This window comes from Homo sapiens, chromosome 7 (assembly GCF_000001405.40).
Source record: "Homo sapiens chromosome 7, GRCh38.p14 Primary Assembly".
NCBI classification, from domain to species: domain Eukaryota; kingdom Metazoa; phylum Chordata; class Mammalia; order Primates; family Hominidae; genus Homo; species Homo sapiens.
Window position 1 is genome coordinate 158,959,139 of NC_000007.14, and position 24,610 is coordinate 158,983,748.

Here is a 24,610-nt window from a genome sequence, read left to right on the forward strand (position 1 = left end):
ATTCCAGGGGGAGGGGCCCAAAGCTCCATGCCCACAGGGCCCAACGTCAGCCCAAGCAGAAGTTTGCTGGGAGAGCCCCTCCTGCTCCTGCAATAGCCATGTGGCTGCCTCGTGCTGTTTTTGTTTGTTTTGAGGCAAGGTCTTGCTCTATTGCCCAGGCTGGAGTGCAGTAGTATGATCATGTTTCACTGCAGCATCAACCTCCTGGGCTCAAGCCATCCTCCTGCCCCAGCCTCCAGAGTAGCTGGGACTACAGATGCCAGCCACCATGTTTGCTAATTTTTACTTTTTTTTTTTTTTTTTGTAGAGACAGGGTCTTGCTATGCTGTCCAGGCTGGTCTAGACCTTCTGGCCTCAAGCAATCCTCTGGCCTCAGCCTCCCAAGGCACAGCCACCTTGTTCTCTTAGGAGCCTTGAAGGCCTGGGTCTTGACATTGGCCCTCAGAGGTGGCTGTTATCTTCCCTGCTTTACAAAGAAGGGATTCAGCTGATCAGGAGCAAGATCAGCCAGTGTGCCTCTTTCAAAAAGCCCAGCCTACCTCTCTGATGTAAAATAAGTACAAAAATGACGGTGCAATTTATGCAAATGCTGTTTGCAGAAGGGTTCCGTTCGAGCGCTGTGTTTGCAGAAGGGTTCCGTTCGAGCGCTGTGTTTGCAGAAGGGTTCCGTTCGAGCCCTGTGTTTGCAGAAGGGTTCCGTTCGAGCCCTGTGTTTGCAGAAGGGTTCCATTCGAGCGCTGTGTTTGCAGAAGGGTTCCGTTGGAGCGCTGTGTTTGCAGAAGGGTTCCGTTGGAGCCCTGTGTTTGCAGAAGGGTTCCGTTCGAGCCCTGTGTTTGCAGAAGGGTTCCGTTCGAGCCCTGTGTTTGCAGAAGGGTTCCGTTCGAGCGCTGTGTTTGCAGAAGGGTCCTGTTCAAGTGCTGGGAGCACAGTGCTTTCTTCCAGGGCCACCCTGTGCCAGGGGCCCTGGGCTCGTCACCTCCCTGGGATGCTCCTTCAGCAGCAAGAGCACTGGCTGGGCCCCTCTGAACGCTCCTGTGAGGACGTTCCTTGGGGAATCACTTGGAAGTGCTTTCAGCTCAGCCTCCATAGCCCTGCGGACCTCAGTGAAGCGCAGGCATAAGTGGTGAGATGCCAACTGCAGACCTGACGTTTGGGGGCAATTTACAAACACCTTGGAAAGGCGCCCTAGGAGAAAAGTAAAACTCAGATAAAGGAGGGGGAAAATAAAAATAAAGGGCCAAAATCTGACAAGTAGCTGTGTTTAAAAACCTCATTCACCATCACAGCAGGCAGAGTAATTTGTATTTACTTTGCTTTCAATTTATAGGCCAAGTAGCTAGCATTGAATTGATTGTGGTTTCATTTCAGTGGATTCTCTATTAAGGCCTCTTGATGATGATGGTCCTTAAGGGTTAACACTATTGAAGTGTGGGAAGTAGGTGGCGAGGACTGAAAGACCTGTCATTTTCCACCATTTTTGTAGCCACAATGGAGTCGAATGGTTGGTTTCTCTATTTACTGCATAAGCTTTTCTAGTTAACCAACACCCCTTTTCAACTCTTTTGCAATAAATTATCCACAAAATGGATTTTCCCCCTGCAGAATTTACAGAGCCCCTGGTCTATGATTTGTGGGTTCCCACAGGGCTAGAAGGGGAATTCCCAAAGCTCCGAGGAAAGATTCTTGCTCAAAAGGTGCTCAGGGAGGAGGAATCTCTAAGAGCATTGGGTCTATTAATAATTATTTGTAAAAACCGATTTTCCTCATTATCCTTCTTAGGATTTTGAATCTGTCTGTGTCAATAACATGCTCACTCTCAATGAGAAGCTGGACTCATTTTTTGTGTGTGGTGTCTTAAAAAGTTCTTTTATTTTGTCAGCCCAATGCCAAATAATTGGATGACTGAAGTTTTCACTTTTTAGATTTTTTTTTAATGTGTCATGTTTTCTTAACCTTTTTATTTTGTAATCAGCTTTCTCAGGTTGAAATGTTTTTCTGTAAGTTCTAAGTCAAGATTTCTGTTCCAAATCACGCAGGCAAAGCCTAAATTGTATCCTTAACAGTATCCAACTCAGATGCTCTCCCTAGTCATGACCAATGATTGCGTTTCATGAAATGGTATGGGTGATTCTCATCAGTTCATGTTAATTTTTTTTTACAGTTTCAGCTAAAAAACAAAACCAAACAAAATGCTTACCCCCCATGTAAGGTGCATGCATAGCTGATGGCCCTTGAGATAATGGCCAGTCAGCGTTGTCCTTGCAAACCAAGCAGCTCCTCCAGGAAAGGATCCCCAATGACTGGGAGATATGGGCTGGAGTTCATGGGGATGAGAATGAGGCCAAGACAGGCTGAGCACCTGCTTAAACCAGGCCCTTGCAGTGAGCCCGGCCAAATCAGGCCTTTCAGGTCCTTACATGGCAAAATGTGGTGATGGTTAATTTTATGTGTCAGCTTGCCTGGGCTAAGAGGTGCCCAGATAGCTGGCACACGTGACTCTGGGGTGTGTCTGAGGGCATACGGATGAGATGGGCATCTGAATTGGACTGAATAGCATCTCACACTCCGGAACGGGAATGGGTGTCATCCAACCCGCTGAGGGCTGGAATAAGACATGGAGGTGGAGAAAGGGAGACTGCTCTCACCTCTTGAGCTGGGACGTCCTCTTCTCTTGCCCTTGAACATCTGAGTTCCGGGTTCTTGGGCCTTTGGGTTTGGACTGGAACGACACCACTGGCTCGCCTGTATCTCCAGCCTGCTGACAGAAGATCATGGGACTTCATCATTGTGTGAGCCCATATGAAATAAAAATCTCCCTCTAAATCTCTATATTCATCCTATCGGTTCAGTTTCTCTGAAGATCCCTGACAAACACAATTGCTGTCACGTGTCATGAGCACTTTGGGTTCCAAAAAAGACTCAAGTAATGCCCGGAACAGCACCCTGTTAACTGAACAAGGGAAAAGCCGAGCAACGTGCTTTGCCATCACTAAATGCACAGAATGTCTGAAGAATTAGGCCCCCTCATAGCACCAGTCATCTGTGTGTGGTGCTATGGTGCTACCAGCTCACTCCTGGGGCCTCTGAGAAACTTTGCTCAGTCACTCATTTGAAGGTGTCACAGTAGCATGAGGGACCTGTGGCCAGTCTAGACCCTCATTCCCAATGTTCTGTCAATAATTCTGTCCCTAGGTGCTAAGTGGCCAAGGTTATTTTGAGAAATATCTTGTGCATCAAGAGAGAAGTTGGTGCATGTGTGCGTGTGTATGTGTATGTGTGCGTGTATATTATGTGCATGTGTGTATGTGTGCATATATATGTACATGTGCACATATGTGTATTATGTACATGCATGTATGAATGTGTAAATGTGTATGTGCATGTATGTGTGCATGTATGTGTATATGTGCACACGTGTTGTGTGTGCGTTTATTCACTTGTGTGCATGTAGGTGTATTATGTGCATGCATGTATGCACCTGTGTGTATATGTACATCTGCATGTATGTGTATTGTGTGTGTATGCACACGTGCATGTATGTGTATTATATACGTGCATGTATGCATGTGTGTATGCATATATATGCATGTATATTATGTGTGTGCATGTATGCATGTTTGCATGTGTGTATGCCCGTGTATGTGTGTGCATACACATGTGACTCTTCCTGTTTTTTTCTGAAGCCTGTTGTCCCCTAGGGGCAGAGTTGGACTCTTAATGGGCTCAAACTTGCTGACCACTAAATTTCTGTTAGTTTTTATGAACAAGATACTGTCTTACATATTCTGGCCCTTTTAGCAGATTTTCCTTCCAGACAGTGTGGGTGGGAGGTGACCTCCTAGGACAGGACTCAACTACCTTTCTCATGTGTGAACTCTCACAGCGTTTCCTTTGTGTGGATTTGCACATGCAGACATTTATGTGTGCGTGTGCATGTCTTACTCAAGACTGGCTGCTGGAAATGTCCAGAGTTTTAAGTTCATTATGATGCATCTGACAAGTTTTCCTCCTTGCAGGGTGGAGGGGCATGTCATACAGCCCCAGGGCTTTTTACAAGCCACCCCAAGCCCCACCATTTTTCTTTCTTTCTGATGTTTATGGACAGATAAACTTCTCTTCTTGTTACCCTTCCTGAAAACATAACATCCATTCATTTCTATTGGAATTCTACAGGGAAGGTGGCACTTGAGGAATTTGTGAATACCTGTCTTGCTCCAACTCTCCATTGCTCTAAAAATGATGGCATTAAAGGGGATTTAGACAGAATGCTGGTTAAGAGCATAGGGTCTGGAGCTAGACAAGGGGGTTCAAGTCTCAGCTACGCTAGTCTGGCCGTGTTACCTGGGTGAGGTGTTAATGTCTCTGTGCCCCTGTGCCTGGGGCTCCTTCAGGAACTGGGACAACATACCTCCTTCATAGAGTTGCTATGTCGGGTAAATGAAGTAATCTACACAAAATGTTTCGCACAGTTCCTGGCTCAGGGTAGGGATGAAGTAAACGCACGCCTTGGTCTATGTCAGTTCTGAAGAACCGTTAAGTACATGGTTAAATTATGGATGAATATGGTTGTTTAACTTGAAAAAAATCAAAGACCAAATCCATTAGCATGTTTTGGCTGATGGTCGTGGCTAAGAAATCCATTTATTAGTAAAAAAGAATCCAGGGTTTTAGTGTTTCCATAGCAACAGAACAACAAACACTGACCCAGAAATAGGAGAAAAGTCTAAAATAAAATTGTCCTTTGAAGGCATCTTTGATTGCCTTCTCCAGGCGTGGACAGAGCCAACGCCTCCTCCCAGCGGCCTGCCCCGGCCACCTGGCCCCTCTTCCACCTGCCTGGTGCCTGCCCTCCATGGCACTGTTGCCTTCTGCATGCTGAAGACTCGCTTGCTGGTGGATTTTGGTTTGTTTATGGTTCACCTTCTGCTGCTCTTCCTGCCTAGAACAGGGTCTGGCCCATGGGGATGCTTGGTAAATAAACTAATGAACAGAGGTCAGTGGCCTGGCCATGGCCTTGACAGGCGCCAGCTGGTGTGCACAGACCTTGTGGACACAGCATCATCAGATGTCAGAACAAGGAGCTATTCGGGAAAAATCAGAAATGAAGGAAAGTTCTGTGTTTCCAGGGTGACCGTTTGTAATTAATCACCTCTTGACCTTGTGGAAACGTCTTAGTTATTTAGTGTAAGAATTAATAGTTTGTAAGGAATCCAGATGTTCTCCTAAATTAAAATAACATACCCTACTTTTGGGTTAAACAGTAGCTATTTTTCCTCAGAGGAAAGGTTGAGTTTTAGATAGTTTCTGTGTAGGATTTCTAAAGGAACTACTTTGTAAAAATTGGGATTTACCACTTACTTTTTGGTACATTTGTGTAGTCTCTGGAATGTAGTACAAGGGCTCAAGAGAAGCCTGTATCTCACACTGGTGGCTGTCAATACAACTAAAAACGACTTTGTGCTTGGCATGTACTTGGTGTATGCTTGATATGTACTTGGTGTGTGCCTGGCATGTACTTGGTGTGTACTCGGCATGCACCTGGCACGCGCTTGATGTATACTTGGCATGTGCTTGGTGTGTACTTGACATGTACTTGGCATGTGCTTGGTATGTACTCAGCATGTCCTTGGTGTGTGCTTGGCATGTACTCGGCATGTTGTTGCTGCTGTCCTAGGTGCCTCTGCATCTGGTGTCCTGGGGCTTAGAGCTGGTCCTCTCATAATCATCTTGTGTACAAGGACATTAAGGCTCAGGGAACGTGGGGGACCTGCCCAAGCTACATGGGCAGAGGAGCTGTGGCTGCTCCTCCAGCTCCTGGGTCACCCTGGGACACCTGAAGGGGGTCCTGCTGGGAGCTCCCAGGGAACCCATCTGAAACGCAGCCTGGTTCACTGAAGGGCCTGACTTTAACCAGGCTGATATGGTTTGGATTTTGTCCCTGCCTAAATCTCATGTCCAACTGTAATCCTCAGTGTTGGAAGTGAGGTCTGGTGGGTGGTGATTGGATCATGGGGTGGATTTCCCCTTTGCTGTTCTTGTGATAGTGAGTGTATTACTCCATCTCACACTGCTATAAGGAGCTTCCCTGAGACTGGGGAGTTTATAAAGGAAAGAGGTTTAATTGAATCATAGTTCCACATGGCTGGGGAGGCCTCAGGAAACTTACAATCATGGTAGAAGGGGAAGTAGGCACATCTTACATGGCAGCAGGCGAGAGACAGCGTGTGAAGGAGGAACTGTCAAACACTTATAAAACCATCAGCTCTCACGAGGACTCCCTCACTATCATGAAAACAGCATGGGGGAAACCGCCCCTATGATCCAGTCACCTCCCACCAGGTCCTTGACATGTGGGGATTACAATTCGGAATGAGAGCTGGGTGGGGACACAGAGCCAAACCATATCAGTGAGTGAGTTCTCAGGAGACCTGGTGTTTGAAAGTGTGTGGCACCTCCTTTTCTCTCTTCTTCTTCCTGCTCTGGCCATGGAAGACATGCCTCCTTCCTCTTTGCCCTCTGCCATGATCAAAAATTTCCTGAGGCCTCCCCAGCCATCCTTCCCATACAGCCTGAGGAAGTGTAAGCCAATTAAATCTCTTTTCTTTATACAATACCCAGTCTCAGGTATTTCTTTATAGCAATGTGAGAACAGACTAATATACAGGCTGATGGCTTCAGCTGAGGAAGTGAGTGAGGGTAACAGTGTGATATCAGTGCCTCCAATAGTGGCTCATCTTACTTGAGATTGGCAGCTGTGCCTGAGGGGATTGGTGTGGATAACTGGTCTTGGGGCTTGTGAACATATACAACTCCTAAGTTGTGAATAAAAATGGTCACAGCACCCGAGCTGTGGTGCTGTTCATTCCTCTGGGATTTTTCATACAGGACTCATAAGAGTGCTGTGTGAGAACAACCAGGAATGCTGCAAAAACACTCGTAGGTTTTCTTTCTCCCCGCCCCCCACCATCTTATTTTTTGCTTTTATTTCCTCAAAACACTTTGTGAGCATTTGTTATTGAAAATAGATTGTTCTCCAAGATGCAGATGGTCAGCTGGGGACACTGGTGGGGGTGACGCACCCCATGTATTTTCAATATAATGTAAGAGTCTGAGCTTTAGACTGTCTTGTAAGATCTCCTGTGGACTGATGATATTTTTTTCAAAACCGAAGTATCATTACATTTGTTTGCAGTTTTAAGATAAAAAGGTCATTGCCAAAAGATGTTTTTCACTAATATTATCTGGGATGAACATTGTGACCTGGCAGGGTAGGTAGGGCAGGCACGTTGCCTTGGGCTCACCTGTGCTATGGGGGTGTGAAGGAGTTGGAGGTCCCATGAGCACTGGGGCTCACCCCGCACCTTTCCTTCCTGTGGATGCCTTTCCCTTCTTCTGGGGATGTACTCTACTAGTTTGTATAATGGTTCGCATGTGTAAGTGACCTTACTATATTTAATATGGGGACAGGGTAGGGTGGAAACTAATATCTACAATTATCTTTATGTTGCCTTCATTTTTGGGAGATATTTCCTTTGGACGTTAAATTCTAGATTGGCGTTTTTCCTTTCAGCTCTGTAGAGGTGTCTTCTGTGGTCTTCAGTGTCCATTGTTTCTGGTAAGAAGTTTTGTAGAAAGTAAAAAGTTTCCTCTTCAAAGTTTCCCTTGTTAAATAATAAATCATAAGTGTTAGAAGTAATAGTTTCTTTTAAAGACTAACTTCCTTCAAGCCTCCTTGCTTTGTGCTAATTACTCTTTGTTGAGTCCTATCCTACGTAGCTGTTGGACATCCAGCTCACGGCCTATGCCTCTTCCTTATTTGGAAATGTTATTGCTTCTTTAAATCTTTCGCAAGCAACTTCCTCTTTTCCTTTGTTCTTCCTTGCATTTACCTATTTAAGAAAGTTTTAGGTTGTTAGCAAATCAGGTATCATTTTAGACTGTGAGGTCTGGCTCCAGGCAATGGATGCAGGACACAGTAGTAAGGATGACCCAAATGCGTAAGGGATACATATGTCTGCTTTTCCTTTGTTTGGTGTACTCTTGTGGCAAAACTGCTGGCGAGAGTACCCTTTCTGCAGAAAGTAAAAATTGCCTTGCTCAGAGAATTTATGTTCAAGTGCTATTTCTTTGTGGCACTGGGGAACAGGCATTGCTAACAGGTTTCCTGTTTGTCATTATTATTGTTTCCCTCCACGAAATACATCTTTTTTTCTGGTTAATTGTAAGCTTTTGCTTTTTTTTTTTTTTTTTAATTTTCAGTGGTTTGACCATGATGTAATTAGATGTTTTATTTTTTGTTGATTTGTCCTTGTTTGGGGTTTTCTGAGCTTCTTAAATCTGTTGTAAACCAAAGAGCATCTGAGACAGGTCTCAATCCAATTAGAAGCTTATTTTGCCAAGGTTATAGGTCATGACTGATGACAAAGCCTCAGGAGGTCCTGAGAACATGTGCCCAAGGTGTTCAGGGTACAGCTCGGTTTTATACATTTTAGGGAGACATGAGACATCAATCAATACATGTGAGGCATATGTTGGTTTGGACTGCAAAGGCAGGACAACTCCAAGGGAAGGGACTTCCATGTCATAGATGGATTCAAAGGTTTTCTGATTGACCGTTGGTCAAAAGAGTTATCTAAGGACCTGGATTCAATAGAAAGGAGTGTCTGGGTCAAGATAAGGGGTTGTGAGGACTCAGGTTCTTATTATGTAGATGTCTCGTAGGTGGCCACCCAGGAGGCAACAGATGGCAAATGGCTCCTATTCAGACCTTAAAAGGTGCTAGACTCTCAGTCAATCATTTCAGGTTTGGAAAAAGATCTTGAAAGGGAAAGGGATTCTGTACAGAATGTAAAATTTCCCCACCAGAGACAGCTTTGCAGGGCCATTTCAAAATATGTCAAAGGGGCTAGGCATGGTGGCTCATGCCTGTAATCCCAGCACTTTAGGAGGCCAAGGTGGGTGGATCACCTCAGGTCAGGAGTTGGAGACCAGCCTGGTCAACATGGTGAAACCCCATCTCTCCAAAAATACAAAAATTAGTTGGATATGGTGACATGCACCTGTAATCCCAGCTACTTGGGAAGCTGAGGCTTGAGAATCATTTGGACCCAGGAGGTAGAGGCTGCAGTGAGCTGAGATTGTACCAGTGCACTCCAGCCTGGGAGACAGAACAAGACTCTGTCTCAAAAACAAACAAACAAACAAACAAAAACAAAAACGACAACAACAAAAGCAAAATATGTAAAAGAAATATATTTTGGGGTAAAATACTTTGATTTCCTTCAGTACCTGCCCTCTGTCATGTGATGCTATACTTGAGTTGGTTGGGAATTTGGTATCTAATTGCTACAGAGCGTCTGTTCTGTCAGTCTTAGGATCTCTGTTTTAACGTGAATGCTGATCAGTTGTGCCTGAACTTCAAAGGTTCAGAAAGTGCGTAAGAGGAGAGGGGAGGGGCGCCAGCTGAGAACACTGTTCTGGCCGCAGTACCGTTACTGCTGAGGTTATACTTGGATGACTGAGGGATAAAGGCAGATGAAAATTAGCCACACCGACAGAGGAGAAACACACCCACTGGGGCCGGGCAAACTGTCCAAGGCATACTGTCCAGAAGTAACAGCTCCTCACTTGAGCCCAGGAGTTCAGGACCAGCCTGGGCAACACGGTGAGACCCCCCTCAACAAAAAAATCGAAAATGAGCCAGGTGTGGTGGTGCACGTCTGTGGTCCCAGCTACTCGGGGCTGGGGTGGGAGGACTGCCTGAGCCTGGGAGGTTGAGGCTGCAGTGAGCTGTAATTGCACCACTGCACTCCAGCCAGGGTGCAGTGCTCCAGACATAGCAAAACCCTGTCTCAAAAAAATAAATACATAAAAAAAGAAATAACAGAAGTAACAGTCCCCCCTGGACATTAAGGATGTGACTTCCTTCCCGTTCATCCCTTCTCACTGGCTTGGTAACTGGATCTAACAAGGAAGTGATATTGCTTTTCTTTTTTTAAACCCTCTTGCTCTATCGCCCAGACTGATGTGCAGTGGTGCGATCTCAGTTCACTGCTACCTTTGTCTCCCAGGTTCAAGCTATTCTTGTGCCTCAGCCTCCCAAATCGCTGGGACTACAGGTGTGCACCACCACTCCAGACTAATTTTTGTATTTTTAGTAGAGACGGAGTTTCACTAAGTTGGCCAGGCAGGTCTCGACCTCCTGGCTTCAAGTGATCTGCCTGCCTTGGCATCCCAAAGTGTTGGGATTACAGTGGTGAGCCACTGCGCCCAGCTGATATTGCTGTTTTCAAGGTTGGCAGGCCAGAAGCCTGGGCTAAGGCACTCAGACAAGCCCCTCCCCTGCCCACCTGGTCACCACCATTCATAGTGATCATTCATCTGTGGTGAGAGGTGGGCAGCAGATGAATCTGAAATGGAAATACTCAATGCATAACTTTTTGGAGGTTTTTACAAAAGCAGACACTGTGGCCAGTTCATTCAATAATTTTTTTTTATTTCAGATACTGTATTTTTCATTTCTAGAATATCCTTTTTAAAGAAAAGTTTCTAAATATCTTCTAAAATTTCTTAGCATTATAACTATCTTTTCCTGTAGAATCTTCAACATATTTATCATTGTTATTTCAAAGCTCTTTTCTACTAATTAGAACATCATGGTCATTGGTGGGTCTCCTTCTACTGACTGATTTTTCTCTTATGTATAAGTCACATTTTTCTGTTTGTTCAGGAATTTACAAATTATATACTGTATATAGGGCTTAGGATATCATAGAGACTAGACTTAACTTCTTTTAACTTCATGTCTTGTTTTTTTAGGTTTTAATATGTTTCTGGCATCAAAAATATTGTATCGGAATGTCAAGTTCCTACTAAAGACAGATTTTTCTTGATTTTAAGCATCATCAGCCTAACTCAAACAGAAATGAATTTATACTGAGGACCTGGGTAGCCTGCAACATCATGGGAGAGCTGTAGAGCAAGAGTGGTGCAAACAGGCGGGAGCCAAGGGGGCTGGGAGGCAGGAAAACTTGCTTAGTGCATTGCAACTCACTTCACGTTTACAGACGTCTCTTACTACCTCTGGACACTGACCACTGCCAGTGCCCCTGGATCCTGGACACCAGTGGTATAAGTGGAAACTTGCCACCTCTCCCCTACCTTTGAGCAATTTCCTAACTGTCCCCACAGAAGCATTCAATTGACAGCCCAAGTCACATGACAACGCCCTGGGCGCCAGAGGGCAGGGAGCTGGATGGCCTGGTTTCCACCTAACTAGCCTTGCAACATGGGGAGGGCTTTCACACACAATCCCCTTGCTCTGCCTTATCCTGAGTCTGCATGTTTTTGGTGGGTGTGTCAAGGAGTCAAGGCTCTGATAATCTTTACTTGGGCCATTTTTTGGGGGTAGCGTTTGCAGGGAACAACCCTGAGGATAGGGATAATATCTCTCTCTGGATAAAGAACAGGCCCACTTACTGCTCCCTGTAAGGGCAGTAGATTCCCCAAGCCCACTGCCCCTCAGCTGCAATGCTGACCTATGTGTGTACAGCATCCCTGTGGGCCCTTCATGCCATGCCTATGGACTAGGGGGCCTAGGAAACTGGTCAACACAGTGCTCATGCTGCTAGCTGTGCCGTGGGTCATAATGAAGTCCTTTGTCTCTGATCCAGGAGTCTTGTGTCTTCTGCCAGTCTCTGTGGAACAGTGACAAGTGGACTGTGAGCTTGTGAGCAGGCAAAATGGAAGGCCCTGACATCTCTTTGTCCAGTTGTCTCAGGTGTCAACAGCATCTCTAAATACATACCTGTCTCATCTGTTTCTCAGTACTGAAGATTCAATTGTTATCCAGGAGATTTTTCTAAACTATAATGTATGAAATGTTAAGAGATGTCTTAGGAAATTCTTTTTTAAAAGTTTGTGTGTGGAAAGATGACAGCAATAATCCTCTCCCATCTGTCAGCTTGCCCCTATGCAGTGCAACTCTGCCACTCTTCCCATCAAGTTTATTTCTTCACCTCTTGAATCTGATGTGTCCATGCAATTTGCCTTAGTTAATGTGATGTTAGCAAATTTAACCCAAGAAAAGCAGAGGCTGGAAAAAGGCCAGCACATTGAGGCTGTCTTCCTTTTGCTGTGTGTGGGGACCTGAGACCATGATGCAAGCAGATATGATCTCCTCTGCTGCAGAGGCCTGGAGAGCTGTGGTTCCCCTGCCAGCACCTGCAAGTCTCACTCACCAGACCATCCCTGACCAGCCATCCCCAGCTGGGTACATCTGAAGCTGTGAGAATGTCCCAGCTAGAAAGCATATGAACCACATGGCTGAGCCCAACCCAAACTGCCGACCCACAGCCTTGTGAGCAAATAAAGTGGCTGTTTTATGCCCCTTCCTTTTGGTATCATGTGTTTTGCAGTGATGGGTAACATACTTAAGATAAATTAACAAATTTCAATGGATTCTAAGATGCTCATTTGAACATCTTAATGCTTTTAAAGTTGTGATGTGTCTTATAATTCCATGGCATGCCATAGTTTTATTAGCAGTGATTATTGTTCTTTCAAAAGTACACGTCTTTCAATCAATAGCTTCTGAAACTCAATAAAATACAGTTTTGGAAATACTGTGCTAAAAATAGAGAATTTCATATATTGCAGAACTTTTCAGAGACTTTAGTAGGTTAACGTGGAGTGTGACTCTCCAAAAGAAAGTGGAGTAATACAGTAATAAATAATATATAACTTATATGAACATATGACATGTATACTGAAGTAAATAAAAATTCCCCAAACCACAGGACCACGCCCCATCAATTTTTTGCTTGTAGTTCCTACTGATATTTCAGAGGAGCCCAATTCAGGAATTTGGGATCAAACATCCCTTCTCTCCAGTCAAAGTAATTCATATACTGGTTTCTTGACTTAGATGGCCTAAAATGTCAGAGAACATATTCTGAAAACAGTGCAGGAAAAAAGAAAAGGAATAAAGGAAAAATTGAAACAGGAATGCCTTGCCTAGAACAAAGACAACAATGTGCAAATCTAAAAGAGAAAATCAAAGGTTAGTGATTTTGTTGTTAATGTTTCAAGATATGTTCCCTTTGACTAACAATAATTGAAGCCTCTACATTAAAAATGACACCAAAACTCTTACATTGGCTCTACTTTGTCAGAATTGTGAGAAGAAGCTTTTACTGTTAGTTGGTAATAAATAAAAACTCTCTCCATAAGACAAATACGCATTTTCACAGTGGGAGAAAATTAAAATTCACTCCTGGAAGAGCAATTTCAAATTGGAGGCATTTATATCCCATTAGCAAAAAGTTAACATATCCGGAATAATGATGTCTGAAATATTTTTTTATGACCCAGAAATGGTATTTCCTTTTTTTTTTTTTTTTTTTTTTGAGACAGAGTCTCGCTCTTTCGCCCAGGCCAGAGTGCAGTGGTGCAATCTCGGCTCACTGCAAGTGCCACCCCCCGGGGTTCACACCATTCTCCTGCCTCAGCCTCCGGAGTAGCTGGGACTACAGGCACCTGCCACCACGCCCAGCTAATTTTTTGTGGTTTTTTTAGTAGAGACGGGGTTTCACCTTGTTAACCAGGAAGGTCTCGATCTCCTGACCTCGTGATCCGGCCGCCTCGGCCTCCCAAAGTGCTGGGATTACAGGCGTGAGCCACCACGCCCGGCCCAGAAATGGTATTTCTACTTTACGCAGTAGGATTGAGTTTTGCTCTGTTGCCCAGGCTTGAGTGCAGTGGTGAGACCATGGTGCACTGCAGCCACAAACTCCTGGGCTCAAGTGATCCTCCCAGCTTAGCCTCCCAGACCACGAACACTGCCACCATGCCCCGCTAATGTTTTAATGAAATGGTGGGTTTCTGTAGAGATGGGATGTTATGTTGTCCAGGCTGGTCTCAACCTCCTGGCCTCGGGCCTCCCACCTCGGCCTCCCAAAGCCGTGGGATTACAGGGGTGAGCCACTGTGCTCAGCTACCTAGTATTATTTCTAAAGCACTCAAGATCTTTATGGTAATATAAAATATATTAAAATCTCAGAATATTAGTATTGGAAGGCGCCTGGTAGTCAGCAGGTTAATCTCTTCTGCTAAAGCCCTAGCGGACCTTCCCTGACCCCCGCCGTGATGAGAGCCCCCCATTTCATGACATAACACGTCCTCTTTAGCAGATGCTTTCTTTATAAGTGTGACTTATGTTAGAAAAGGTTTACCGTTTTTCCATTTCAAAAGTAATCCATGGTCATTAGGGGTAGGAGGAGGAGGAAGAGAGAGGCCTCCGGAGCCGGCTCCCCGAGGGCGCGGCGCGTCCGTGGCCCAGGTGTCCTCGCGAGGCTGCACGCCGGGTAACCGCGCACCCATCGCCTTGCCATGGTAACCGGGGCTTCCCGGTGACCGCCAGCTCGCGCCACCCCCGCTCTTCAGCGGCCTCCGAAGGTGCCTAGAAGCCTGTGAGCTCAGCGCCCAGGCAGGTCTCCCTTCCTCAGGCCGCGGAGCCTCGCTCTGCACAGTAGGGGGCGGGCTGTTCCTTTCCGGCCTGAGGAGGCCCGTGGCTTCCCGCGCCGACGTTTGACGTGTGGCAGGGACCCGGTTAGCGTTTCTGCATCTCAGATGGAGATGTGTGCTGTGCAGAGGCCGTGGCTGGGGCGCCACGAGGCTGCCCGACTGCAGGCGCCCGGCGGAACCCTCGCTCAGGCCCGGCTCAGTCTCAGGGCAGGCGCGGTCCCTCGCCCAGGCCCCCCACCGGCCTATCCGTGCCCCCCACCCTCGCCCAGGCCCCCCCCCCGCCTCTCCGCGCCCCCCACCCTCGCCCAGGCCCCCACCCGCCTCTCCGCGCCCCCCACCCTCGCCCAGGCCCCCCACCGGCCTCTCCGCGCCCCCCACCCTCGCCCAGGCCCCCCACCCGCCTCTCTGTGCCCCCCATCCTTGCACCCCGCGCTGTCCCCGGCGGTCTGGCCTGGCGTCTGGAGCTCCGGGAGCGCCTGTCCTCCCAGGGCCGATGCCAGCGCCCGCCCTCCGCGTTCCCGGCATTGACAGAATGTCCAGGCGCGCAGGGCCCGTGGGTGGGGCCTGGGCACCCGGCCCTGCCCTCGCGCACCCTCCAGACCCGCCACTTCTTAGATAGAGAGCGGCCGCCTCCCCGCCCTCCTTTCAGCCACTCGCTCCGCGCAGTCAGCTCTGCTGACTCTTCCGGAGGATTCTGGAAGGTTCCAGAGGGTGTGCCGCCGAGGCCCTGCGAGAGGGCGTTCCCTGGGGAGAACATTCCAGAGCAAGGTAACATCCATAAACGGAGGCTGAAACGGCCTGAGACGTCCCGGGAGTAACGAAGACCCCAAGGCGGCCCCAACTTGAGGGGGGCGAGGTAGCCAGGAATGGGGGGGTGGTGGGAGGGACGGGAAGGCAAACGCGCTGCCTGCTGGGGACGGACGCGCCTTGGGGCAGCCGGGGAGGCCCCGAACGCAGAGATGGGGGAGGCCAGGCGGGTGGGGAGGAGCCCGCGGGGCCGCCAAGGGGGTTCCAGGCAGGCAAGGCCGCCCGGCCTCGGGGCTCTGCGGCACCCAGGTTTCTCTTTCTTTAATTTTTTTGATGGAATCTTGCTCTGTCGCCCAGGCTGGAGTGCAGTGGTGCGATCTTGGCTCACTGCAACCTCCACCTCCCGGGTTCAAGCGATTCTCCTGCCTCAGCCTCCCGTGAATTTATTTTTAAGTTTCCTGGGGGGTGGGATGAGGACCTCTTTGGCCTTTTGTTTGGAATCATGTTAACTTAGTAGACTTCTTAGCTCTGTTGGACATTTTTAAAACAGAAGAGGCTGCCCAGCTGTGAATATCTCATTTCTTATGATACTCATCCATAGTCAGAAGAACCAAGGCAGAAACTGAGGATGCTTGTTGTAAAGTTGGGCTAAGAATACACCCCAGAGCCATGATAGACATAGACTCTGAAAGAAAGGCAGATCTGGAACTAATAAGCAATTATAGCAAGGTCGCAGGAAACAAGGCTAATATGTAAAAGTCAGTCGCTTTCCTATGTACTACAAATGAGCGAGTGGAATTTGAAAATAAAAACATAATACCATTTACTGAAAATGAAATACTGAGGTATAAATCTAACAAAGTATGTACAAGAGCTATATGAGGAAAACTACAAAACTCTGATGAAATAAGTCAAAGAAGGACTAAATGAAAGGAGAGATATTCCATATTCATGGTCAGGAAGACTCACTATCATCAGAGGTCAATTTCTCACAAATTCATCCATAGATTTAATGCAATACCAACAACAATTCCAACAAGTTGTTCCCGAACACCAGGGGTTCTGTCCAGGTCATGCTGCCCACTGCACAAAAAGCCCCCAGTCTCTGAGACAAAGAGAGTTGCCGGGGAAGAAGGCTTTATTCTATTACAGGCGGTGTCAGCTGGAGAGACAGGAGTCAAAACTCAAATCCGTCCCGCCTTCCCGGCTAAAGTCAGGGGTTTACATAGCTGGGAAGGAAGACAGGAGGGGCAAAGAGGGGAGGTGCGTGGGTGGAGCACGGAGGGGAGGTGCGTGGGTGGAGCACGGAGGGGAGGTGCGTGGGTGGAGCACGGAGGGGAGGTGCGTGGGTGGAGCACGGAGGGGAGGTGCGTGGGTGGAGCACGGAGGGGAGGTGCATGGGTGGAGCACAGGATATTTTTGGGACGGTGGAACAACTCTATGATACTATAATGGAGGATGTGTGTCATTACACATGTAGCCAAACCTACATTGACAGCAGTGGCTGCTGCCATCATCCGCCTGCAGCAGGGAAGCGTGGCTGGGGCCTCACACTCCATGGAGCCAGTGGGTGCCCCGCCCCTTCTGAGTTCGGAAGGGAGCTGTCCGTGCTCCCCGTGCTGCTGCACCTGCCCAAACCACAGCTGCAGACCCAGGCCTCCTGCTCTACGAAGCTGCCCAAACTGCAGCTGTGGATATGAGCCTCCCTGTGCACTTGAGGGAGCTGGGAACAGGCAAGATCTGCCTTCCCGGGTACAGCTGCAGCTGCGGCACCCACGGCTGCAAACCTGGGCCTCCTATTCCAAAAAGCGGGCAGGAGCTAGGGACAAGTAGGAGCCCTGCCCCTTCCGAGTTGGTGGGAGCTCCCAGGTGCAGCTGTGGCCGCCCTCCCGGGTACAGGACCTGGGTGTTTCTGCAGCCTACACCCTCAGGGGCCCCAGGAAGGACCCCCCCTACCACATCCCTGCAGGCTCGGGGGTGTCTTCTGCTGCCTGGCCTCTCTCCACTCCTAGCGCCTGCTCCGATCTCAGAGCTGGGGCTGGGGCCAAGCCCAGGGGCCATGAAGGGCCGTGGGAGGCAGATTGATTTCTGGGTAGAAGGGGCAGGTCCCCAGGAAGGCCCTACCTTCAGGCCAGCGAGGGCCTGAAGGCTGGGGGCTGGGCTGCCAGTGCTGCAGACAGGAGTGGGGACTCTTGATGCCTCTTCTGGGCCCACCCATGACCACTTATGGACCAATCGGCATGCACTTCCTCCCCTCAGAGGTCCATACAAGCTCTGGGCTCAGCCAGAGCAGGGCAGAGAAGGGTCACAGGATGAAGAGGACAGAGGGCAGAGAGACGACCGGATGGGATGACCAGCTGCAGAGAGGAGTACCCTCTCCACTGAGAACAGCAGAAGGCAAGACAACCTGTCCACAGAGAGGAGCTACCCTCTCTGCTGAGAGCTTCAGAGACCTGCAGAGACATCTGAATGACCTGCCTGCAGAGAGCAGCTTCCCTCTCTGGGGCCTCCTCTCTGCTGAAAGCTGAACACTCGAGAGACGACCTGCCTACGAGAGGAGCCACCCACTCCTCTGAGCTGTTCTGACACTAAATACAACTTTTCTTCTTCACGCTTCACTTGTCTGCGTACCTCATTCTTCCTAGACGCAGGACAAGAGCTCTGGCAAAGGCGCTGCAGCCACAGAGGTTTCCGGCCGGAAAAATCGGCACCCCAGAGATCCCATGAGAACGTCACGTACAGCACTGAGACGGAGCCCTAATGAAAACTGTGGCTCTGGGTGATAATGACGTTACTGTGGGTTCATCAACTGTAGCAAATTCGCCCTCTGCTGGGCGTTGTTGGAAATGCAGAGGCTCTGGGGGGTCAGGTATGTGGGAGCTCTCTGTACCTTTCTTGTAATTTGATGTGAACTTAAAGCTGCTCCAAAAAGATAAAATCTTGAAGAAAAGCGAAAAAAAAAAAAAGGAAGAGAGGAAAAAATGACAGGCAGAAGGTCACGCCTGGCCCCTCAGTGCGCGTCCTCAGGCCTCTGCTCCCAGCTGGGGCTGGCAGGTGGTCGGGGGGGCACCCAGCTCCTCCACTCCCCACGCCCACCACAGCTTTCAAAGTTAGGAACACAGGCAGGGTGGAGGTGAAGTCCGAACAGAAAGAGGAGACTTAAGGGAGGGCGAGCCCTGACTTTGTTTCGTTTTTCCGAGGCGACATTCGGTGCAGCTTTCTGGGTCCCCAAGGCTGACCCTGCTGCACCATGAACCACACGTCCACACCCTCACTGTCTCCCGCTCATGACATCAGCTCACCTGAGACTGTCACCGAAGGCTCTTTAACGTGAAATGAGTGGTTTTAACTATTTTTAAGTACACAGTTGTGTGGCATTAAGTGCATTCACTATGATGTGTGGCCATCACCATCGTCCACCCTAGAACCCCTTCATTTTCCCCAACAAATTCTGTCCCTTTAAGCAAGTGCTCCCCATCCCCCACCCCCTTCTACCTTCTGTCTCTGTGAATCTGATGACCGTCAGTCTCTGAGCACAGCCATACCATCGTGGGCCTTTTGTGTCTGGCTTACTTCACCGAGCATAATGTCCTCAGGGTTTATCCGCATTGTGGCAGGTGCCAGAATCCCCTTCCTTTTTTAAAGGCTGAATAATGCTTTACCGTATGGATAGACCACATTTTGTTTATGCGTTCATCCGTTATCGGACGCTTGGGTTGGACCATGTTTAGTGGGTGTGAATAAGGCTGCCCTAAACACGGGTGCACAGGCATCTGCCCAAGTCCCTGCTCTCAGTTCTTTTTGAGAAATACCCAAAAGTGAAATTGCTGGGTCATATGGCAGTTCTATTTTTAAGGTTTTGAGGAGCCGCCACACTGTCTTCCCCAGCGGCTGCCCTGTTTTACATCCCCTCAAGCAATGTAAAGGGTCCCGGTGTCCCCACATCCTCCAGTTTCTCCACATCCCGAGCACTTGCTGTCTTCTATTTTTGATACTTGTTACCCTAATGGCTGTGAGGTGGCACCTCATTGTGGTTTTGATTTGAATTTCCCTAATGACCTGTGATAGTGAGCATCTTTTCATGGGTTTATTGGCCATTTGTATGTCTTCTCTGAAGAAATTGTCTATTCAAGTCCTTTGACCATTTTTGAATCGAGCTGTTTGTTTTTTTGTTGTTGAGTTGTGGGGGTTCTTTATACATTACTGAAGGCTTATTTTTATGGTCCAATAATTCTTTATAGCACTGGGTGCTCGCTAGCCAGATGCCGTGATTATTTATGGCCTGGGACTGCGGGTACACATGTCTCCATTTGGAGGCTCAGCCAACGTTTCTAGGTCTGTTAACTTGAATTCATCTTTTAAATTGAAAAAAAGATTTATTTTCCTCCTTATAACAGTCAAATCTCCGCCTTTCGTGTTTCCAGGGCCAAGTACTATCTGGGGGTAAAATGTTAAAGCTCAGTGAGAAATCCCTGGATACACGGAGGTTACATTTCAAAGGCCAGACCCCTGGTGAGAGCAGAATAATAGTGTCATAAATGGCGATGTTGTATTGTGCAGTTGATAAATTGAGTAAATATTTGCTAAAAGCCAGGAAACCCCCACAGCAATAAGGACAAATGATGTTCATCAAAATGGCAGCCGTTTACTCAAGAATTAGGCAGAACCCACGGCGGGATGGACACTTGGACGTGCTCTCGGGACGGGCTGGCTAGGAAAGCTACAGCTGCAGATGGAGCTGGGAACCTCGCCCTGCCCTGAAACCCAAGGGAAAATCAGACTCCGAGGCACCGGTCGCCCTAAACCACCACAGATGGGGTTTCCACCTTCCTAGGAATAAGAGTGGAATATGCACCTGGGGGTGCAGCTTCGCCTTCCGCACAACAAGGGTCAGCGCCAATGTTTCCCTGAGATTCTCAGAGACCCAGAGCGCTGCCACCAGCGGCCTCCTGCCTCCCTGGAGCTCTTACCTCCCGCTCCCTCTCTCCGTCCAGGTGCTTACTTCTGGGAACTAATCACTCAGTTTGTCTGATTTTTTACTTTTAAATCTCTTTCAAACCATTGGTGCCTTTGCAGCTTCTTGTAGCCACCGTCAGAGCCAGGCAGCAGGGGAGGAGGAGGCTTGGACTGTGGTGCAGAAAACCCCGTCCAGCCTCACTTGCCTTGGGAAGGCTTTGAAAGGATCATTTATACACTGGAGGATTCCATGAAGACTTTTTTTGGCCACCCTGAGTGGTTCAAGGTTCACCCTGTCTCTGTGAGGCTCGGCCTTGCCTTCTTTCATCAAAAGAAAAACAGAAGCCAAGGCTGAGGCCTTGCTGACCGGTCCCTCCCGAGTCCCTTCCTAACTGGAAACGATGATTCAGTCCAGAACTCCGCCTGCTCAGTCCCTGCTGTAAACTTCGTGGCTCTCTTTAAGTGCTGCTAGATGCCAAGCCAGGGAGACAGCCTGTATCATCAGTGCAGTCGCCCTGGGGGTGACACCAGGGATGATTATGTAAATTCTCATAAAACCCACAGGCAAGTTTTGCTGCGGCCCGGCCTCCGGAGTCCTCCTGGTTGTAAGGGAAAGCACGAACTTGAGCGTGAAGACTCCAAAGCAGAAAAAAAGCAGAGCTCAGGAGGAAGCCTGCAGGGAAGGCCAAACCCTCCTGTGTGTGGAGCGGAGGTCAGGCTGGGGCGGGCGGCCACAGCTCCCCACCCTGGCCGCACCCCAGCCTGCAGATCTGACAGATGCAGGCCCCACTGCACCTGACAGTGCCGTGCTCAAATTGCTCACTCAGCAATGACATATTGGTGACCTGCCGGCAGCAGGCACTGTGGACAACACGTGGGGAGCACTGAGCAGGGCTACCTGCAGACGGCCTGGAAGCTCACCTTGGGCCGACTGGCAGCAGGTCACATGGCCTCTCTTAATTAATCTAATTTCCCACAAGGCAGCCGGGGGTTATTCCAGGCAAACCTGAATTCCTGCGTGGAACCTCAGGTGCCAACACCTGCACATGTAAGCGGTGTCCAGGCTGCACCCTGGAGCCCAACCCTGGACCCCTTTGGGATGGTGAGACCCTGGGCCTCACCCTTCTCACCTCTGAGTGAGGCTTCTCCCCTGACCCTGTTCCTTGTACCCCACCCAGATGTTTTGGTATTTTTCTGTACCCACATCTCCACACACACAGTGGCACTTCTCACCAAGGACTTGTAATCACAGAAAGCGATGGACAGAGGCAGACGCAGCAAGGGTGATGGGAGCTGGCGGAGAAGATGGTCCAGGGTGCAGGGGCACCACAGAGGTTGTGACATCACCTCAGGGTCCAAGACGTGCTTCCTAGGGGCCCCCTGGCGGTCTCCAGGATGAGGGGTGGGCAGTGTGGGAGACCCCCAGGCAAAGGAGTGGCAGACATTGACAGAAAGGAGTGGCAGACATTGACAGTGGAAGGTCTGCGGGGATGTGGGGGAGGTGCGCCGGGTGGGGAGGGGCCGCAGGCAAGGCCACAGTGTCCGGATGGTCCTGTGAAGGAAGGGAGCCCCCAAACACATTCACGTAGGGCAGTGCTGTGGGCAGATGCAAATTTTCAGAGTGTTCGCTGGAGATGGAGGGGGCCGGACCACCCCCAAGTCTCAGGAGAAGTCACAGGGGAGGAGACTCTGGGACTCTGGGTTCAGGTAAATACTTCGGGTTTGGCGTTGATGCTCCTTTTGGGCAATCTGTAGACTGAGTGACACCTGTCTCCCTGTCCACTCCCCTCCTACCCTTGTGATTATCCATCAGTATTTATGGGCCTGGCTGGTCAGACCAAGCAGGCCACAGCACAGCATGGAGCTCTAGGCCTCTGTGCGTCTCTGGTGTTTGGATCCTAGGACCTGAAGGTCCAGGGGAGAAGTCGTCTGGGGGGTTGGGAGGCTCAGGGAAGAGGCTGCTTCCTGCTGTGGACTTGATTAGCAGCCCCATGGACAGTCACTGGACTGTTAGCGAGGCAGGAGTCCAGAGGAGCCAGGGTGACACCATTTTAAAATCAGCACCGTCTTAAACTAGCAAGGCACACTCCTTGCCACACACAAGCCATGGTCCTAAGATGTTTACAGCTAAGGAAGCAGCTTGGTGATGCCTGCAAAGCAAACTCCAAGAACAGAAAGTCCAGACGTCCAATACCCATAATTAGGTCTATGCTTTCAAGATAGTAAGAGTCATGCTATGATGACTGACACACTAAAATGTCAAGGATGGTTTTCTTTAAACCAATAGAATGATAAACCTTGTCATGCTCTCTGCTCAGCTGCACATATGCACAGCTTCACTTCGCTTTGCAGACAAGACTTCTGTGTAAGAAAAATGGAAAAAGAAGTTGGTGTGTCCTCTGCTTGCTTTCTGCTCTGTAACAGAGTCATTTCTAATAAACGTGCCTCTTTCACTGTGCTCTGTGACTGGCCTTGAATTCCCTCTTGTGTGAGATCTGAGAAGCCTCTCTTGGGGTAGAGACCCCCTCTTCCAGGAACAGGACCACCTCTCACTTCCCCTAGACCCAAAGGGTGACCAAGAGACTGGCTCCAGGGCTTGTGTGGGAAAGTCTTCTGTTCGAGTGAGCCTGGGAGTAAACACTCCTGCTCGAGTGGGAAAGTCTTCTGTTCGAGTGAGCCTGGGAGTAAACACTCCTGCTCGAGTGGGAAAGTCTTCTGTTCGAGTGAGCCTGGGAGTAAACACTCCTGCTCGAGTGGGAAAGTCTTCTGTTCGAGTGAGCCTGGGAGTAAACACTCCTGCTCGAGTGGGAAAGTCTTCTGTTCGAGTGAGCCTGGGAGTAAACACTCCTGCTCGAGTGGGAAAGTCTTCTGTTCGAGTGAGCCTGGGAGTAAACACTCCTGCTCGAGTGGGAAAGTCTTCTGTTCGAGTGAGCCTGGGAGTGAACACTCCTGCTCGAGTGGGAAAGTCTTCTGTTCGAGTGAGCCTGGGAGTAAACACTCCTGCTCGAGTGGGAAGGTCTTCTGTTCGAGTGATCCTGGGAGTAAACACTCCTGCTCGAGTGGGAAGGTCTTCTGTTTGAGTGAGCCTGGGAGTAAACACTCCTGCTCGAGTGGCTAGCTCATGGGTTTCTGCAAGGAACGTCTTTGAAATATTTGGTAGATCTAAGGCTGAATACAGACCATTCACCAAAACGCTTTCCAAAACCATCTACTCCAGATTTTGTGAATAAATTTAAAATGCTGTTGCGGAGTCCTGACCACAGAATATTGTTTTAGAAGCGAGTTTTGAGCTTTGGTCTGATGTGCTGATTTTTCCAGCAAGGACACGGAAGCCACATTTGTGATGAACTCTGAGCCATGCCCACCCCTCTGGGGCCAGGCCAGCCTGAAGCCATCTCACTGGCTCTCCAGCTGCCAGAAATGGAGGCTAGCTTCTGATACCAAAGTTCCACACCAGGATATCAACAGCAGCCCTGCTTACACTAGTGAAAAATTAGACAGGATCTAAGTGTCCCACACTGAGGAAAGAGATGAACTCCAGCACGAGTGTATTATTCTGTTTTCATGCTGCCAATAAAGACATACCTGAGACTGGGTATTTTGATATTTTTTCTTGTTATAAAGAAAAAGAGGTTTAATGGACTCACAGTTCCATGTGGCTGGGGAGGCCTCACAATCATGGTGGAAGATGAAAGGCACATCTTACATGGCAGCAGACGAGAAAAAATGAGGGAACCAAGTGAAAGGGGTTTCCCTTTATAAAACTATCAGATCTTGTGAGACTTATTCACTACCACGAGAACAATATGGGGGAAACCACCCCTGTGATTCTGTTATCTCCCACTGGGTCCCTCCCACAACACATGGGAATAATTATGGGAGCTACAATTCAAGCTGAGATTTTGGTGGAGACACAGCTGAACCATATAATTCCACCCCTGGCTCCTCCCAAGTCTCATGTCTTCACATTTTAAAACCACTCGTACCTTCCCAACAGTCCCCAAAGTCTTAATTCAGCATTAACTCAAAAGTCCACAGTCCAAAGTCTCATTTGAGACAAGCAAGTCCCTTCTGCCTATGAGCCTATAAAATCAAAGGCAAGTTAGCTGCTTTCTAGATACAATGGGGGTACAGGCATTGGGTAAATATATCCATTCCAAATGGGAGAAATTGGCCAAAACAAAGGAGTTACAGGCCCCACGTAAGTCCAAAATCCAGCGGGGCAGTCAAATCTTAAAGCTTCAAAGTGATCTTTGACTCCGTGTCTCACATCCAGCTCACACTGATGCAAGAGGTGGGTTCCCATGGTCTTGGGCAGCTCTGCCTCTGTGGCTTAGCAAGGTACAGTCTCCCTCCTGAGCTTTCACAGGCTGGTGTTGAGTGT

The 24,610-nt window shown here is 48.7% G+C and overlaps 1 protein-coding gene and 1 long non-coding RNA gene across 3 annotated transcripts, besides 4 other annotated features; both read left to right on the top strand.

Moving 5' to 3' along the window:
- On the top strand, positions 480-1,254 carry LOC124901794 (uncharacterized). The gene has a single exon (XM_047421165.1). It carries the CDS (start codon positions 566-568, stop codon positions 1,118-1,120), a length of 555 nt encoding a protein of 184 aa, XP_047277121.1. The 5' UTR covers positions 480-565; the 3' UTR covers positions 1,121-1,254.
- On the top strand, positions 15,163-22,684 carry LOC124901795 (uncharacterized). 2 transcript variants are annotated; one of them, XR_007060626.1, is made up of 2 exons: positions 15,163-15,379; positions 17,530-22,684. It is a non-coding gene; the product is annotated as an uncharacterized LOC124901795 (long non-coding RNA). The 2 variants fall into 2 exon arrangements; XR_007060625.1 differs by having other exon boundaries at positions 15,163-15,291.
- Positions 16,824-17,564: an enhancer, noted in NCBI's record as "H3K4me1 hESC enhancer chr7:158768653-158769393 (GRCh37/hg19 assembly coordinates)". NCBI's record gives its function as "activates a minimal SCP1, AML or CMV promoter by ChIP-STARR-seq in naive and primed H9 embryonic stem cells {active_cell/tissue: H9 hESC(naive and primed)}" and the evidence as "EXISTENCE:reporter gene assay evidence [ECO:0000049][PMID:30033119]".
- Positions 16,824-17,625: a biological region, named in NCBI's record as "H3K4me1 hESC enhancer GRCh37_chr7:158768653-158769393".
- Positions 17,506-17,625: an enhancer, noted in NCBI's record as "active region_26935". NCBI's record gives its function as "activates an Ori minimal core promoter by ATAC-STARR-seq in GM12878 lymphoblastoid cells {active_cell/tissue: GM12878}" and the evidence as "EXISTENCE:reporter gene assay evidence [ECO:0000049][PMID:35858748]".
- Positions 17,636-17,685: an enhancer, noted in NCBI's record as "active region_26936". NCBI's record gives its function as "activates an Ori minimal core promoter by ATAC-STARR-seq in GM12878 lymphoblastoid cells {active_cell/tissue: GM12878}" and the evidence as "EXISTENCE:reporter gene assay evidence [ECO:0000049][PMID:35858748]".
- Positions 22,685-24,610: the final 1,926 nt, after the last annotated feature.